The sequence below is a fragment of the Homo sapiens genome, chromosome 13 (genome assembly GCF_000001405.40).
Source record: "Homo sapiens chromosome 13, GRCh38.p14 Primary Assembly".
Classification (NCBI taxonomy): domain Eukaryota; kingdom Metazoa; phylum Chordata; class Mammalia; order Primates; family Hominidae; genus Homo; species Homo sapiens.
In genome coordinates, this window is record NC_000013.11 from 52,584,862 (window position 1) to 52,601,990 (window position 17,129).

Here is a 17,129-nt window from a genome sequence, read left to right on the forward strand (position 1 = left end):
CTATTTTAAAAATACAGTTGTTCTTGAGACCCCCGGTTGCAGCATCCTCAAGGTCCATGCCATAGGACTGTGTTATGAGCTCAAAAGTATTATAATCAGATCTTAAGTGTGGAAGTAAATTCCTCCCAGAGAAGTTCAATATGAATCTGCTCAGTACCTTCAACATGTCAGGTCCTCAGTAGGTGCTGATTTACCAATGACGAACCACCACCAAATTTTGTGCTAAAGTAAGGGAGGACCTAGGGAAGCTTCAGCTAGCTGAAAAGCTGACTGACACACTTATATCTAAGAGAAGTTACAAGACACAGTAAGTATTAAGAAATACAGCTAAAAAATCATTAAAATTGATAGTCTCCCATTTAAACATGGGTTTCTAATAACTGAATTGGGAAAACTTTCTTAAAAACTATTAATTGGAGGCTGGGTGTGGTGGCTCATGCCTGTAATCCTAGCACTTTGGGAGGCTGAGGCGGGCGGATCACCTAAGGTTGGAAGTTCGAGACCAGCCTGGCCAACATGGTAAAACCCTGTCTCTACTAAAAATACAAAAATTAGCCAGGCGTGGTGGCACATGCCTGTAATCCCAGCTACTCAGGAGGCTGAGCCAGTAGAATCGCTTGAACCCAAGAGGCAGATTGCAGTGAGCCGAGATCGCACCACTACACTCCAGCCTGGGCGACAGAGTGAGACTCTGTCTAAAGAAAAAAGCAAAAAAACAGAACAACTATTACTTGGATTTGGAGATTATTGTTCCCAGAAAACCTTCTGCCATATTTGGAAACTTATTTCTCAGTCTAGAAGTTCTCCACTTTAAGTAGCATTTGTTCTGTGCTGGTGAAAAACTGAGACTTTTTTGTATCAACCATACTCTTCAATACAAAAAGAGAAAATATTTTTAAAATGCTTCAGGTCACAGTTGAGGCAGTTGCTATGATTGCATGTGGCATGAATTGGTAGTTATCGGTACAACCAGTTCTAGTCTTTTCTTCAAATCTGAGCTGGATCTAATAACTCCTTAAGTCCAGCAAGGCAACAGTAAATTAAACCTCTGGTCTACACACTTGCAATACATACACATTTAATAGATTTTGATAGAGTGAACTTTGGATTGGATGGAAATTTTTTACAAATTTGTTTCTTGGATGCATACAAACAATAAGCTTTGATTCCTAACATGAGCAAAGTCCCTCAAATGTGAGAGCTGGGTGGAGCTTCATTTGTTGCTGCTCCTCAGATTGATTCTTGGTAAAGGATACAGTTTTTTTCCTTTGAAACACCATGTTCATTTTGGGGAAGGAATAAGTTAGATCACCTTTATTTTCACTTTTATATAAATTTCTAAAGATTTCTGTAATATTTAAATTTATATACTATTGGTAAAGCTGTTTTTCTTAGTTGTGAAATTGTTGTTTAGCCAAAAATGCCAACTTCTGTCTTTTAGAACACTAGGCATAAATGGGTTAACCAATTTATGCCTAGTGTTCCATTATTGGAATGCTAAGCATGTGGGATTTATTTATATCCTACTGCTCAAGGTCATCGCCAAGGGCTGATTGCAAAAATTCAAAAAATTGCAACCTCAGGCATAAATTAAAAGAGATATAGTATTTTATTATTGGGTTTTGATACATGTCTAATCAGACTGATTTCTGTCACATATAGAAATTTAGATACTGTATTAAACCTAGATGTCATTAATTCCATAAAAAGCAACGTTAAAAGAATCAGTAGCATGTGTTACTGATGTGTTGCTGAAGATTAAGATATTTTTAAGTCTCACCGAAAAGGTAGAAGGAGCCAACTGAGACACAAAAAAGGGGCTGAGGTTCTATTCATGGTGAGCAAGTCTTTTTTTTGTTTGTTTCTTCAAGCTCTAACAAGGGTGCCTACTACATGGCTTTTCAGTTAACTCCAAAATAAAATGTAACAATTTTTTTTCTATTCTTAGGCTTTATCTACAAAGAAATGAATTGGATAATCTTCATAAACAAAAAACTGGAAAATTTATCAACCAGAATATGCAGTAGAGACATATTTTGATGAGAAATGACTTAAGTTATGTTGTAACTGGTAGCTGATTAAGTATAGTTCCCTGCACCCCTTCTGGGAAAGAATTATGTTCTTTCTAACCCTGCCACATAGTTATATGTTCTAAATCTTCCTTGCTGGTACATCTATATTGATATATGTATACACATGTTCTTTATAAATCTATTAAATATATACAGATAAAATGTCAGGTTTTTTTTCTTTTTGAAGGCATATATTTCACAGTTTGCATCTTGTATTTACATACATTTGGAACACAGTACTTAGGAACATTAGGCGTCATTTTGAAGAACTTTGAAATAGAACTTTCGTATCAAAATAATTGAGAGATAATTAAAAATTGTGATCCCCCAACACCCACTTACTTATACATTTTTGGTCAGGTATTTATTCCCTGCTTTTTTTCACATTTGTAATTTCAGGTTTATTAGAAAGCTAATTTATATTTTTCCTTCTACTCGATTTACAAACTGTTAACAGATTGGCAGCAAAGACTAAGTTTTAAACCCAGAAGAGAGAAATATTTCACACAAGCAGTCCCCCAACTCCCAACACACACTTTTCTCTTGTTCCAAGCACTAAATGGGTAGCTTACTTAACAAGCTTCCTTTAATTACACACAGACATGGGGGTTGGGGTAAGAAGGGCGTAGTAAATATGAAGGAGAAGTAACCTTCAGTAACTTCTGCTTTTGTATAAAATTGTAAGTGAAGTCAAAAGAAATATTTGTTCTTAGAGTAATTTAGGTGTATTATTTTGAAATCCACTACTCCTGCTCACAACCAATGTCACCTAAGCCCTGGGGGAACTCTGAAGGGAGGTAATCTTTTCATTGAAAACAGTGGTTAGCCCTGTGTCCACAGGGAATCATTATTATTTCCTCATTGGTGCTGGATGCTACTTTTTTATTAAACACTTTTTTTTTTTTTTTGAGACAGTCTCACTCTGTCACCCAGGCTGGAGTGCAGTGGCACGATCTCAGCTCACTGCAACCTCTACCTCCTAGGTTCAAGTGATTCTCCTACCTCAGTCTCCTGAGTAGCTGGGATTACAGGTGCACGCCACCACACCTGGCTAATTAAACAAAATTTTTTATTTTTATTTTGTACTTTTTGAGATGGGGTCTCACTCTGGTTGCCAAGACTGGAGTGCAGTAGTAAGATCTTGGCTCACTGCAGCCTCAACCTCCTGGGCTCAGGTGATTCTCTCACCTCAGCCTCCCCAGTAGCTGGGACTATACGTGCATGCCACCATGCTTGGCTAATTTTTGTATTTTTAGTAGAGATGGGGTTTCACCATGTTGGCCAGGCTGGTCTTGAACTCCTGACCTCCAGTGATCCACCCGTCTCGGCCTCCCAAAGTGTTGGAATTACAGGCATGTGCCACCGTGTCTGGCCACTTTTATACCATTAGCAACATGCAGAGTAGTGGAAGAGGTTGTCTGAACCAGATTTGAGGAGTTGAAGGGTCAGAAATGTCTGAGAAAATGCAAGGGAACCCACCTTTCTTTTTCTTTTTTTTTTTTTTAAACAGAGTCTCTGTTGCCTAGGCTGGAGTGCAGTGTTGTAATCTCGGCTCACTGCAACCTCCGTCTCCCAGGTATAGGTGATTCTTCTGCCTCAGCTTCCCAAGTAGCTGGGATTATAGGTGCCTGCCACCACGCCAAGCTAATTTTTGTGTTTTTAGTAGAGATGGGGTTTCACCATGTTGGCCATGCTAATCTCAAACTCCTGACCTCAGGTGATCCACTTGCCTTGGCCTCCCAAAGTGCTGGGATTACAGGTGTGAACCACCATGCCCAGCCAGGTGAAATCATTTCAATACAAATTCTAAACAGAAGAAAAAGATTGAACTGAAACCACCCTACAACATCCCCAGAACCTACACTAGGGTTAGTGTCATGATAACTGCCAATGGTTAGTGTTTACCATCTCCCCCTGTACCTGAAAGGAGCCCTTAAAGCTTCATCAAAATGCAAAAGAAGGCTTACAAAAAATATTTAAGAATTGCATATGGCTAGCCAGTTTTCCCAACACCATTTATTAAATAGGGAATCTTCTCCCCATTGCTTGTTTGTGTCAAGTTTGTCAAAGATCAGATGGTTGTAGATGTGTGGTGTTATTTCTGAGGCCCCTGTTCTGCTCCATTGGTCTATATATCTGTTTTGGTACCAGTATCATGCTGTTTTGTTTGCTGTAGCTTTGTAGTATAGTTTGAAGTCTGGTAGCGTGATGCCTCCAGCTTTGTACTTCTTGCCCAGGATTGTCTTGTCTATGCGGGCTCTTTTTTGGTTCCATATGAAGTTTAAAGTAGTTTTTTCCAAGTCTGTGAAGAAAGTCAGTGGTAGCTTGATGGGGATAGCATTGAGTGTATAAATTACTTCGGGCAATATGGCCATTTTCACGATATTGATTCTTCCTATCCATGAGCATAGAATGTTTTTCCATTTGTTTGTGTCCTTTCTTATTTCCTTGAGCAGTGGTTTGTAGTTCTCCTTGAAGAGCTCGTTCACATCCCTTGTAAGTTGTATTCCTAGGTATTTTATTCTCTTAGTAACAATTGTGAATGGGAGTTCACTCATGATTTGGCTCTCTGTTTGTCTATTATTGGTGTATAGGAATGCTTATGATTTTTGCACATTGATTTTGTACCCTGAGAGTTTGCTGAAGTTGCTTATCAGCTTAAGGAGATTTTGGGCTGAGACGATGGGGTTTTCTAAATATACAATCACGTCATCTGCAAACAGAGACAATTTTACTTCCTCTCTTCCTATTGGAATATGCTTTATTTCTTTCTCTTGCCTGATTGCCGTGGCCAGAACTTCCAATAATACTATGTTGAATAGGAGTGGTGAGAGAGGGCATCCTTGTCTTGTGCCAGTTTTCAAAGTGAATGCTTCCAGTTTTTGCCCATTCAGTATGATATTGGCTGTGGGTCTGTCATAAATAGCTGTTATTATTTTCAGATATGTTTCACTGATACCTAGTTTACTGAGAGTTTTTAGCATGAAGGGGTGTTGAATTTTGTCAAAGGCCTTTTCTGCATCTATTGAGATAATCATGTGGTTTTTGTCACTGGTTCTGTTTATGTGATGGATTATGTTTATTGATTTGCATATGTTGTACCAGCCTTCCATCCCAGGGATGAAGCCGACTTGATCGTAGTGGATAAGCTTTTTGATGTGCTGCTGGATTCGGTTTGCCAGTATTTCATTGAGAATTTTCACATCTATGTTCATCAGGGATATCGGCCTGAAATTTCCTTTTTTTGTTGTGTCTCTGCCAGGTTTTGGTATCAGAATGATGCTGGCCTCATAAAACGAAGTAGGGAGGATTCCCTCTTTTTCTATTGTTTAGAATAGTTTCAGAAGGATTGGTACCAGTTTCTCTTTGTACCTCTGGTAGAATTTACCTGTGAATCCATCTGGTCCTGGACTTTTTTTGGTTGGTAGGCTATTAGTTACTGCCTCAACTTCAGAACTGGTTACTGGTTTATTCAGGGATTCGACTTCTTCCTGGTTTAGACTGTGGAGGCTGTATGTTGCCAGGAATTTATCCATTTCTTCTAGATTTTCTAGTTCATTTGCATAGAGACGTTTATAGTATTCTTTGATGGTAGTTTGTATTTCTGCGGGATCAGTGACAATATCCCCTATATCATTTTTTATTGCATCTATTTGACTCTTCTCTCTTTTCTTCTTTATGAGTCTGTCTAGCAGTCTATCTACTTTGTTGATCTTTTCATAAAACCAGCTCCTGGATTCATTGATTTTTTGAAGCGTTTTTCGTGTCTCTATCTCCTTCAGTTCTGCTATGGTCTTAGTTATTTCTTGTCTTCTGGTAGATTTTGAATTTGTTTGCTGCTGCTTCTCTAGTCTTTTAATTTTGATATTAGGGTGTCAATTTTAGATCTTTCCTGCTTTCTCTTGTGGGCATTTAGTGCTATAAATTTCCCTCTACACACTGCTTTAAATGTGTCCCAGAGATTCTGGTATGTTGTGTCTTTGTTCTCATTGGTTTCAAAGAACATCTTTATTTCTGCCTTCATTTCGTTATTTACCCAATAGTCATTCCAGAGCAGGTTGTTCAGTTTCCATGTAGTTGTGCGGTTTTGAGTGAGTTTCCTAATCCTGAGTTCTAATCTGATTGCAGTGTGATCTGAGAGACTGTTTGTTATGATTTCCATTGTTTTGCATTTGCTGAGGAGTGTTTTACTTCCAGTTATTTGGCCCATTTTAGAATAACTGCAATGAGGTGCTGAAAAGAATGTATATTCTGTGGACTTGGGGTGGAGAGTTCTATAGATGTCTATTAGGTCCGCTTCGTCCAGAACTGAGTTCAAGTCCTGAATATCCTTGTTAACTTTCTGTCTCGTTGATCTGTCTAATATTGACAGTGGGGTGTTAAAGTCTCCCACTATTATTGTGTGGGAGTCTAAGTCTCTTTGTAGGTCTCTTAAGAACTTGCCTTATGAATCTGTGTGCTCCTATATTGGGTGCATATATATTTAGGATAGTTAGCTCTTCTTGCTGCATTGATCTCTTTACCCCTTCCTTACACCTTATACAAAAATCAATTCAAGATGGATCAGAGACTTAAACGTAAGGCCTAGGACTGTAAAAATTCTAGAAAAAAACTGGGGCAATACTATTCAGGACATAGGCATGGGCAGAGACTTCATGTCTAAAACACCAAAAGCAATGGCAACGAAAGCAAAAATTAACAAATGGGATCTAATTAAAGAGCTTCTGCGCAGCAAAAGAAACTATCATCAGAGTGAACAGGCAACCTACAGAATGGGAGACAATTTTTGCAATCTATCCATTGGACACAGGGCTAATATCCAGAATCTACAAAGAACTTTACGAGAAAATTTACAAGAAATTGACAAGAAAAAACCAAAACCCCATCAAAAAGTGGGCAAAGGATATAAACAGACACTTCTCAAAGGAAGACTTTTATGCAGCCAACAGACATATGGAAAAATGCTCATCATCACTGGTCATTAGAGAAATGCAAATCAAAACCACAATGAGATACCATCTCATGCCAGTTAGAATGGTGATCATTAAAAAGTCAGGAAACAACAGATGCTGGAGAGGATGTGGAGAAATAAGGACGCTTTTACACTGTTGGTGGGAGTGTAAATTAGTTCAACCATTGTGGAAGGTAGTGTGGCGTTTCCTCAAGGATCTGTAACTAGAAATACCATTTGACCCAGCAATCTCATTACTGGGTATATACCCAAAGGATTATAAATCATTCCACTATAAAGACACATGCACAGGTGTGTTTATTGTGGCACTATTCACAATACCAAAGACTTGGAACCAACCCAAATGTCCATCAGTAATAGACTGGATAAAGAAAATGTGGCAAATGTATACCATGAAATACTACGCAACCATTAAAAAGGATGAATTTATGTCCTTTGCAGGGACATGTGTGAAGCTGGAAACCATCATCCTCAGCAAACTATCACAAGATCAGAAAACCAAACACCACATGTTCTCACTCACAGGTGAGAGTTGAACAAAGAAAACACGTGGACATAGGGAGGGGAACATCACACACTGGGGTCTGTTGGGGGGTGAGGGGCTAGGGTAGGGATAACAGTAGGAGAAATACCTAATGTAAATGACAGGTTGAGGGGTGCAGCAAACCACCGTGGCATGTGTACACCTATGTAACAAAACTTCACATTCTGCGCATATACCCCAGAACTTAAAGTATAATTAAAAAAATGCAACTTCCTGACTTTGACATTATGCATAGTTATTCCATCTAAAGTCTGAAAAGTGGAGTTGGGGGAGGGGCCATTAAGAATAATTCTCAATTATTTCTTGGCAGATAAACCAACTTTTCCAAAGAGTCTGAAAACTGCTTGATCGCTTTTTTAAGCAACAAGCAATACAATCTCTGTGATGCCATCATTACTGTTCATTTCTTCTAGGAGAGGAATGACACACTTCTGCCTTTAATTGTCAGATTATCCCCATTTCTGAATTAGTGAAATACAATTTAATGTGATTTTACTATCATAAATTTAGAGTCATTCTCTCCCAGGTACTGCTGGGCTATGATAAAATGAGATCTGAATTACATCAAAATAATTTAATTATTCCAAGAGAAGAGGTGATGGTCAGAATTTTTTAAGTGGCTGCATAGTTTAGATAGCCTCGATGCAGATAAGCTGAATAAAGCATTTAACTCAGCACATTAATATTTTAATGTGATCATCCTGAACAGTTCGGGCATTACAGGTTCCTACAATACACATATGCTGTCTATCTGGGACAGTTACATTCCCAACTGGGAGGATGTGGGAGACTAATGAATATACAAATGCTAGCAACAACTGTCTCCCGTCCTCTGTGAGGGTAAGCTACCTTCCCATGTAATTTACCACTGATGACATCATCATGGTACTCACTATGCCCTCAAGTGAGTGAAGACTGTTCTGAATGCCAGTACTAACCACGGAGCCTGACACCTAGTAGGTTCTCAAAGATCTATCAAGTCCATAAAGCCATGAATAAATGACAGAGATTATATTTCTCCCCTTGCCTAGAATAAGATCAGAAGTCTGATCTTATTCTCCTTACAAGACACATAAAAACATTCTTTAGGCGGTGTGGTGGCCAGCCAAGCCTCTTATTCCACAGCACTCACACTATGTCATACGTAACACTTTACCAAGGGTGGTGGTTTGGATTTTCAGTCCTTGACATAGAGTTGGTAAATCATGAGATATAGAGGAAACCTATCAGGGCAGGGACAGTGTCTCAAGGAAGGGACAGCTCTGAAGAAGAGGGCAGAGAGGTGAGAAGACAGACGCAGACTCACATCACAGGACCAGGCCCACCCAAGCAGAGATGACACCCTCACACCCCTCTGGAGGCCATCCATAAAGGTTCAATTTAACAGGGCAGGGAAGCATATCATTTTCAAGAAACTCCAATCCAAAAAGGTTTGGGGTTGTTTTTAATTTTGGCATTTGATGGGATAAACTTCAATGATCTGAAATGCCACATTCCCCAACTATGCCAAACAAGGCACACTGCAACAGTACTCAAAGTAGTGACTGCATTGTTTCAGAGTTGTTGAATGACTAAGTCTTAAAGTGGTACCAAGTTTCCCTTTAAGACTGTTTAACTTTCGGTATCCATGTTGCCTCGTTTCAATAATTATCTAATTACCTAACTAACTTCTTCAAATCCTCCTTCATACTAGCTCTCTAGGTCTCTAGATCTCTTACAGCCACTGCAGATAGGGAAATACGAACTTCCCAGCACTTGAGAGTAGATGAGCTGGCTGAAAACCTTTGTGGTGAGGGAAACTTTGTTTAAAAGGAAAAGGAGAGACACACAGAACAACACATTTAGGCTCCATCCACATCACCTCGGGCTGCAGCTGGCTCTGTGCTTACAGTCGATCACTTCCATGGGTGGTTTCTGCCACAAAACACAACAACACTCTGCTCCTATCAATGGCTGACAGAAAAATCCCAAAGTCCAGCAAGTTCCACGTCCAGAGAGCCAGGCTGGAAATGCTCCAAACCAACCCTTACATCCGGGCACACCACAGACCCATTAGGGAGCACTAACGCAGAGACGGCAACAACATCAGACAAGGGACCCAGGGACCACAGTGCTGCCCTGTCTTCACACCATCTAGCTGTATAACCTTGAACAAATCTACTGCCCATTCTCTGGGCCTCTTTTCTACAAGATCTCATAAGTGGGAGTCCTACTTTCCATTTGCATTCCTCGGGCCTCACAGTAGAACGGAGGTTTCTGTGTCCTCTGCCCAGCCGCCTCTCAAGTCTTGTTCCTCCTCCCATCCCTTCCCCCCAGCAAAGGGGTTTGTTGTTCTCTGGAGTTAGACTACCTGTGGCAGCTCTACCTTGGTGAGGGGTGTGCCTGTGTTGCCAGCACAGGGAGAAATACCTGTCCAATGGTGATGGGAACAGTTAAGTGACAGTATGTATAAAGGCCCAATACATGTTCAAAACATGCCCACCAGCAAATGCCTTACATACCAGGCTCCCAACCATACGGTTGCAATTTCTATCTTTCAAACTAATTGTAAATTATAAAGATGGCACCCAAATACCTGTATGCCCATAAGTAGGAAAAGGTAAACTTTTTAATTCTATCACTATAAATTCTAGATCTTTGATAGACTGACTGAAGGATATAAAATGTCAAAGGTGAGACTCTCTCATGTGGCTAAACACCCTCCTACTGCAGACAGAACTGAGCCCAACAGCATTCACCTGCTGGTGAGAGGCGCCCAGGGGCAGGCAGATGGTTGCACCATTCTCAGGGTCAGCCTCCTCCCCAGTGTGGTGTGGGGCAGAAGATGGGGCACAGGGCCTGGGAGGCTGTAGCCTGAAGGCACGCAGTGCCTACTGGGCACTGCAGAGACTACTGGGCAGACTCCTGCCAGCCTTCGGTTCTCCTGCTTCTGGGGCCAGGACACTCCTTGTGAGCTCTGTCCTGGGAGAAGTGCCCTTCCCAGTGCTCCTTATCAGTGTTTGTGAGGCATTCTCTCTAGTGCTCCTCATTAGCATACCTTGGCCAAACTTTGGCTCATAGAAAAACACTTTGCTCTTCTCTGAGCAACAATTTCTTTTCCCAATTGAGCTAATGACTGGATGAGAGGTGGCCACACTCATGACCATACTCATCTTTGGTGGTGGTGGGTAGGGGGTGTCCTGGATAAGGAGAGCATTGGGCAACGCCCCCTCTGGCCTCCCCAGTCCAGGGAGCTGCAACCACTATGGGAATTCTGTGGGAGGCCATAGTAGTCCACGGTTTCCCTTTGGGCAATCGGCATTCCAACCGTGCCTCCTGGTCCCAAGACAACAAGAACTCTGGAGAACTAAATTACCACCATGCACTTCCCATTCCGCCATGTGCCTCAGCCGAGGGTCCTGCTCTTCCTGCATATTCAAGCTGATCTTTCTAAGGAGTAGCTTGCATGGTGCCAGCACTGCCCCCCGTATCACAGGCAGCACCCTCCTGTGCCAAGGAAGCTTCAGCCTGCCCTTGGGCTCAGGCCACTAGGCTCTGGTTAGTTGACATTCCCAGCAAATCCTACAACTTCTCCTTTCCTTTCATGGCTCTAAGACACAGTCCATTATCAGTCTCATTTTTAAAGACATTTCTAAGAATGTCCTCCTTTCTTTCCCAACACTAGTAAGGACAGTAAGTGGCGTTTCCTGGGAGGGACTGTATGGTGTTATTTTTGCACTACAAGGGTTCTGAAGACTGCCAGGCTTGAAGTGAAGAACCACATCACCTGCCTATCCCAGTCAGGTGACAATGGACAAGGGGCTTCATCTCTGAGCTGTATTCCAGCAGTACTGGGCACATTCCACCCCTCACCCTGACTCACAAGGTGTTAATAATAATGGACACTACTCTGTCTTCTGCCATGCTTTGAACAACACTACACTATGCATCAAATGGATTCATCCCAAAGGTAAAGCACATTGCTTCTGGAAGGAGAAAGGTAGTATCTTTTTTTTTTTTTTTTTGAGATTGAGTCTTGCTGTGTTGCCCAGGCTGGAGTGCAATGGCGCGATCTCGGCTCACTGCAACCTCCGTCTCCCGGGTTCAAGCGATTCTCCTGCCTCAGCCTCCCAAGTAGCTGGGATTACAGGTGCCTGCCACCATGCCCGGCTACTTTTTAGTATTTTTTGGTAGAAACGGGGTTTCACCACGTTGGCCAGACTGGTTTCGAACTCCTGACTTCAAGTGATCCACCCGCCTCGGCCTCCCAAAGTGCGGGGATTACAGGCGTGAGCCACTGCACCCGGATGAAAGGTAATATTTTCATACTACTTTCATTTGATCTCATTTAGAAGGTGCTTGAGGAATAAAGAGGACTGGGTTTTCTCTGGGATTATAGTTAGGCATCACTTAGTGACTGGGACGTGTTCTGAAAAATGCGTCGTTACACAATTTCGTCATTGTGTTATCATAGAGCATACACACACGACCCTAGGTGGCATAGCCTACTCCACACCTAGGCTGTACGGTATGGCCCACTGCTCCTAGGCTACACACCTGTGCAGCATGTTACAGTACTGAATACTGTAGGCAACTGTAACACAGTGGTAAGTATTTGTGTATCTAAACATATCTAAACACAGAAAAGGTATAGTGAAAATATGGTGATATAATCTCATGGGACCATGACCACATACACCGTCCATCACCGACAGAAACATGTTTATGCAGCGCATGACTGTACCTGCAGCCCCCGCCGTGAGGTCAATGGCAGCCTGGGCAGCAGGACTGGACTTCACGTTTGCCCACTCTTCTGCTGGTCTCGTGGAAGGCAGCTCGCTGGACCTTATGACAGGCACCACATATCCTGGGGGGAGGCAAGAGTTCACCATTAGTCCAAGTCTCTGCAGCCTCCCGTTCTCTAGGCCTGCAGCCAAATTACTGAACCTAAACTTCTGGGATCCATGAACTGGGCTCTACATTGCTGCAAAGGAAACGGGCTCAAAGTATCAGTGCAGCTTAGCAAGTGACTGCCCCCTAAAAAGGTCACAGATCAAAAAGCTTCCCTGCGTATCAATGCTATTGTCACCAATAGCACTTCAACCAACCTTTCTGAAAACTGTAAAATGAACACCAAACAAGCCAACCACAGATGTACCAAACCACAGCAGACTGTTTTTACAGGCCTAAGTTGAGCTATCAATTGAATAGGCTCAGTTCTAAAATCAGACAGCAGCCTGTGCTGGGTGCCTAAGGGGATGTCACAAGACAGTAGGTCTGGAAAGGAGCACTCAGGCAGCCAAGGGTGAGAGCTGCACCCTGGAATCACACACGCCTTGGTGTGAATGCCTCCTCTACCTGTGGCCCCTTTGGCCTCTACAGCTGGGAGTCCTCATCTGTACAAGGCAAATAATAACACTATTACAAAACAAAGGCAGTCGCAAATAGCCACATGAGACTGATGGGATGCTCCACTGTGCACAAGCATCATGTGTTCTCAGAACAAGGCCCTGCACAGAGCACCAAGCATCTTCCTGTGACCACAGTCCACTAGCCCTTCAACTGTCAATGTGCACAGGAGTCGCCTGGGGGCCTTGCTAAATAAAATGCAGCTTCTGATTCAATAGCCTCGGATGGGACCAGAGATTTGGCGTCTTGATGAGCTCCCGAGTGAGATGGACAATGCCAGTCCACGGACTCACACTTTGAAATACAACACCTCGGTCATTGTGTCCAAATTTGCTTGATAACCTGAAGCACCCCCCACCCCCCCCCTTTTTTTTTGTGATGGAGTCTGGCTCTGTCGCCCAGGCTGGAGTGCAACGGCCACGATCTCAGCTCACTGCAACTGCCACCTCCGGAGTTCAAGTGATTCTCCTGCCTCAGCCTCCCAAGTAGCTGAGATTACAGGTGCATGCCACTGCACCAGGCTAATTTTTATATTTATAGTAGAGACGGAGTTTCACCATGTTGGCCAGGCTGGTCTTGAACTCCTGACCTTCAGTGATCCACCCACCTCAGCCTCCCAAAGTGCTGAGATTACAAGTGTGAACCACCTTGCCCAGCCTGGAGCACGTATTAAATATTCTAATTATCAGGCCTTTCTTCTGGAAATCTTGATTCAGTATGTTTCGGTTGGAGCCTTGGGCATTTGGGAAAACTAGAATGTATTCCTCTCCCTTTAGACAAAAGTCAACTATTGCTGAGGCATGGGTTTCATAAATGTTGACTAAAATATCCAGTTCAACAACCAATCCTGTATAATTTTCAAGTAACTTCTTTGTGAATAATAAGGAACAATTTATTTGTCATCGCACTGAGGAGCCGCGTGACCCCAGTCGTGCTGGATCAGAGATGAACACCAAGTGACTTCCTAACACCAGTGTCATCCTGAACGTCAACAGAAAACAGTGGCCACCGAGAAGATTTTTTAACTACTTGAAGCATTTTGCCAATGACCAGACTTCAAGAATCTTCCTTAATTTACAAAAAAAATTTAAAACCAATGGCAACAAAGGCACAGTACTTAACAAAGCAGCTAAGTTAGAAGTGCAAGACACTGATTTATATGCTGTTGATAGACCTGGAGAGACAGGACCATTTACTAGGCTGAAAAGGTGATGGCCATCTGGTATCTTCCTAAAAAAGTATATCAGGGTCCTAATCCTTTTCCAGAAGGCAAACTAAGGCCAGAGCAAGACAAGGTCTCCTAGGCCACACAACTAGTCAGTGACAGAGGAGCCAGTTCAGTCCTGTCCTTCAGGTCTGTGCCTACAAACCAATACTTGATCCGAGTATTCCAACCTGGGCAAAAACATCACAAAACACCCAACCCTGCATTTTAGGAAAAAAAAAAAAAAAAGGAAAAAGGAGGAAGGAAAAAAACAAAGGCAACTGAGAAGACAGGGCATGTCCAGTCTGGCCTCCCAGATAAACCTCAATGCGTTTGTTTCTTTTGGCGCAGCCACTTCCTTTGTAACTTGGAAGGAATGAAAGTCACATCACATTGCATTCTGTCTGCCCGTGTGAATTCAACCCCGTTAGGTGAGCCAAACTTAAACACATTAAATTCTACAAATAACCACTTCTGGAATTATTAAGATAGAAAACAATGGTGGGTACTAACAGATTCACTCAGGAGTGGGTAGTTAACGGGTTAATTCAGGTTATGTGTAGCTCTAGCTGGGAGAAGAAACAGGGCTTGGAGGAGGCAAGACTGTTCAGCATGAATTAGAACTGATTTATGAGCTTGCTGTAGCACTTGGAATAGAAAAACTCTTCAGCGCCTTTGATCCCTCTCACACTACACCAGGGTTCGATTGAGAAAACAACAGCGCTGACCACCCGTCCTTCTCGATCCTTGGGGAAAAAACTTTTTTGGACGGTAGAGTCAGATGAGGCCGCATTTTCCACCAGGGAACACTAACTGCTGCGGGAAGATCCCAGCTTCTGGCTAAAGCTGGGGCGGTAGGAGCTGCCGGCCAGCTCGCCATCTAGTCCCCAGAGCCCGGGCTTTAGGGCGCCCGGATGCAAACCAGTTTTGCCGCCAAGGAACCCGGACAGGCGCGCCTCCTCCCCGGCCTCGCAAGGAACAGGTTAAGGAGACATTTCCCACTTTCTCTGCCCGGCCCTGAACGCTCGCCGCCCCTGCCCAGCCGCCCACTGTCTGGCAGCCTGCAAGTCTCCATTCAGAAGCGGCTCCGTGCTGCCCAGCGATGGCGCCCTGGCGGCGCGGAAGCCCGCGGCCAAATGACACGACTTGGGGGCAAAGGAGGACAACAGTTCCCACCAGGTAGGCACTGGGGGAAGGAGGCCGATGACCCTGAGATTCTCCAGCGACCCCGGCGGGCCATCCCTGGGCGGCGCGCGGGTCCCGCGGCACGTGCGTGGCAGCTCTCGCCGCTTCCCTGGACGCCCGGGAAGGTCACGCCGCCTGGGCGCCGAGGCCCGCCCCGCGCCCCTCTCCCTCCGCCCGGGGCGCTCCGCAGCTGCCGAGGAGCGGAAGTGGGCGCCAGGCCGCGGCGCGCCCAGCCCAGCCCAGCCCAGCCCAGTCGGCGACCCCGCGCAGCGCTGCCTGCAGACCCTGGAGAAGGCGGAGGCCTGCGTCTCCGGGTGCTTTCCTACCTCTGGGCTCCCCGAGACCCTTTCTGAGGCCGGACCCTAGTTAGTCCGCTGGGCTGGGGATGAGGGCTAGGGGCTGGGAATATCAGTGATTGGGAGGACTTAAGTTTTTAGTTAATTTGACCTTGTTGGGCGGCCAAGTCCTTAATTATAACTTATATTTGAGTACAAAATTATACTCGGGATTCAAGGCTGTAAGTTAAAATTAAGTATGAAAATACTGGAATTGTAAAGATGGAAAGTAGATTCTTTTATTACCAGTTTAAAAAAAAAAAAAAAGCATTTCCCAATCCCCTTCTCCAAAGGAAATCCATCTGATGCCATTTCTGTAAATGCACTGATGAAAACCGTAACACTGTCAGCTCTGATCTTGTAGTCCCTAAGGAATTATAGGTTCTATCTGTGGTTCTCTGACATTTTATTAAACAAGTGAAAGTATTCAAGGAAGCTGTTGTTTGCCCAGAGTAATTTTCTTTTCTTTTCTTTTTCTTTTTTTTCTTTTTGTTTTGACACAGTCTCACTCTGTCGCTCAGGCTGGAGTGCAGTGGCGCGATTTCGGCACACTGCAAGCTCCGCCTCCCGGGTTCACGCCATTCTCCTGCCTCAGCCTCCGCAGCAGCTGGGACTACAGGCGTACGCCGCCACACCCGGCTAATTTTTTGTATTTTTAGTAGAGACAGGGTTTCACCGTGTTAGCCAGGATGGTCTCGATCTCCTGACCTTGTGATCCGCCCGCCTCAGCCTCCCAAAGTGCTGGGATTACAGGCGTGAGCCACCGTGCCTGGCCACACCCTGCTAATTTTTTATATTTTTGGTAGAGACGGGGTTTCACCATGTTGGCCAGACTGGTCTCGAACTCCTGACCTCAAGTGATCCTTCTGCCTCGGCCTCCCAAATGCTGGGATTACAGGCATGAGCCACCGCGCCCGGCCTGCCCAGAGTAATTTTCTTTAATGCCCTAAGACAAAGGGTCAGAAGAGTCTTGGTCTACTTGAGACAGCCACTCAACATAACACGCAGCCACTGCCCTCCTATTGTTTTGGTTCAGCCTTTGTGTATTGATTTTCATTTTCAACACAATTTTCTTCCTTAAACAGGGCGTGGTGACACATGCCTATAGTCTTAGCTATTTGGGAGGCCAAGGCAGGAGGATTGCTTGAGGCCAGGAATTGGAGGCCACGGTGAGCTATGATGGCACCATTGCACTCCAGCCTGGGTGACAGAGAGAGATCTTGTCTCTTACACACACACACACACACACACACACACACACACACAGAGTGTAATTTTCTTTTACAACTTTCAGCCTTGTTTGGATGTGCTGTTGGATTATTACCTATGCAATTTAAGTGATTTGATTGGTGATAGTGCTTAACATGAATGCACACATGAATAGACCTCCCAGGCTATAGTAGATGCTATGATGGGATCAGAGTGCCTG

At 43.8% G+C, this 17,129-nt stretch overlaps 1 long non-coding RNA gene and 1 pseudogene across 3 annotated transcripts in view; one reads left to right on the forward strand and one right to left on the reverse strand.

Annotated features, from left to right (window-relative positions):
- Window positions 1-2,234, forward strand: part of TPTE2P3 (TPTE2 pseudogene 3) — a 98,103-nt pseudogene extending 95,869 nt beyond the window's left edge. Inside the window, exon 24 of the transcript NR_002793.2 lies at window positions 1,949-2,234. The product of NR_002793.2 is annotated as a TPTE2 pseudogene 3 (transcript). The remainder of the gene's footprint in view (window positions 1-1,948) is intronic.
- The window catches only part of LINC00345 (long intergenic non-protein coding RNA 345), a 118,126-nt gene extending 102,380 nt beyond the window's left edge, over window positions 1-15,746 (reverse strand). The window contains exons 1-2 of one of the 2 annotated variants that reach the window (NR_184203.1): window positions 15,357-15,502; window positions 12,312-12,434 (exon numbers count right to left, since the gene is read on the reverse strand). This is a non-coding gene — a long non-coding RNA (long intergenic non-protein coding RNA 345). Of the gene's footprint in view, window positions 1-12,311; window positions 12,435-15,356; window positions 15,503-15,691 lie in introns of those variants that run through there. The other variant, NR_184202.1, reaches the window with a different exon arrangement.
- Between the last annotated feature and the right edge of the window lie 1,383 nt (window positions 15,747-17,129).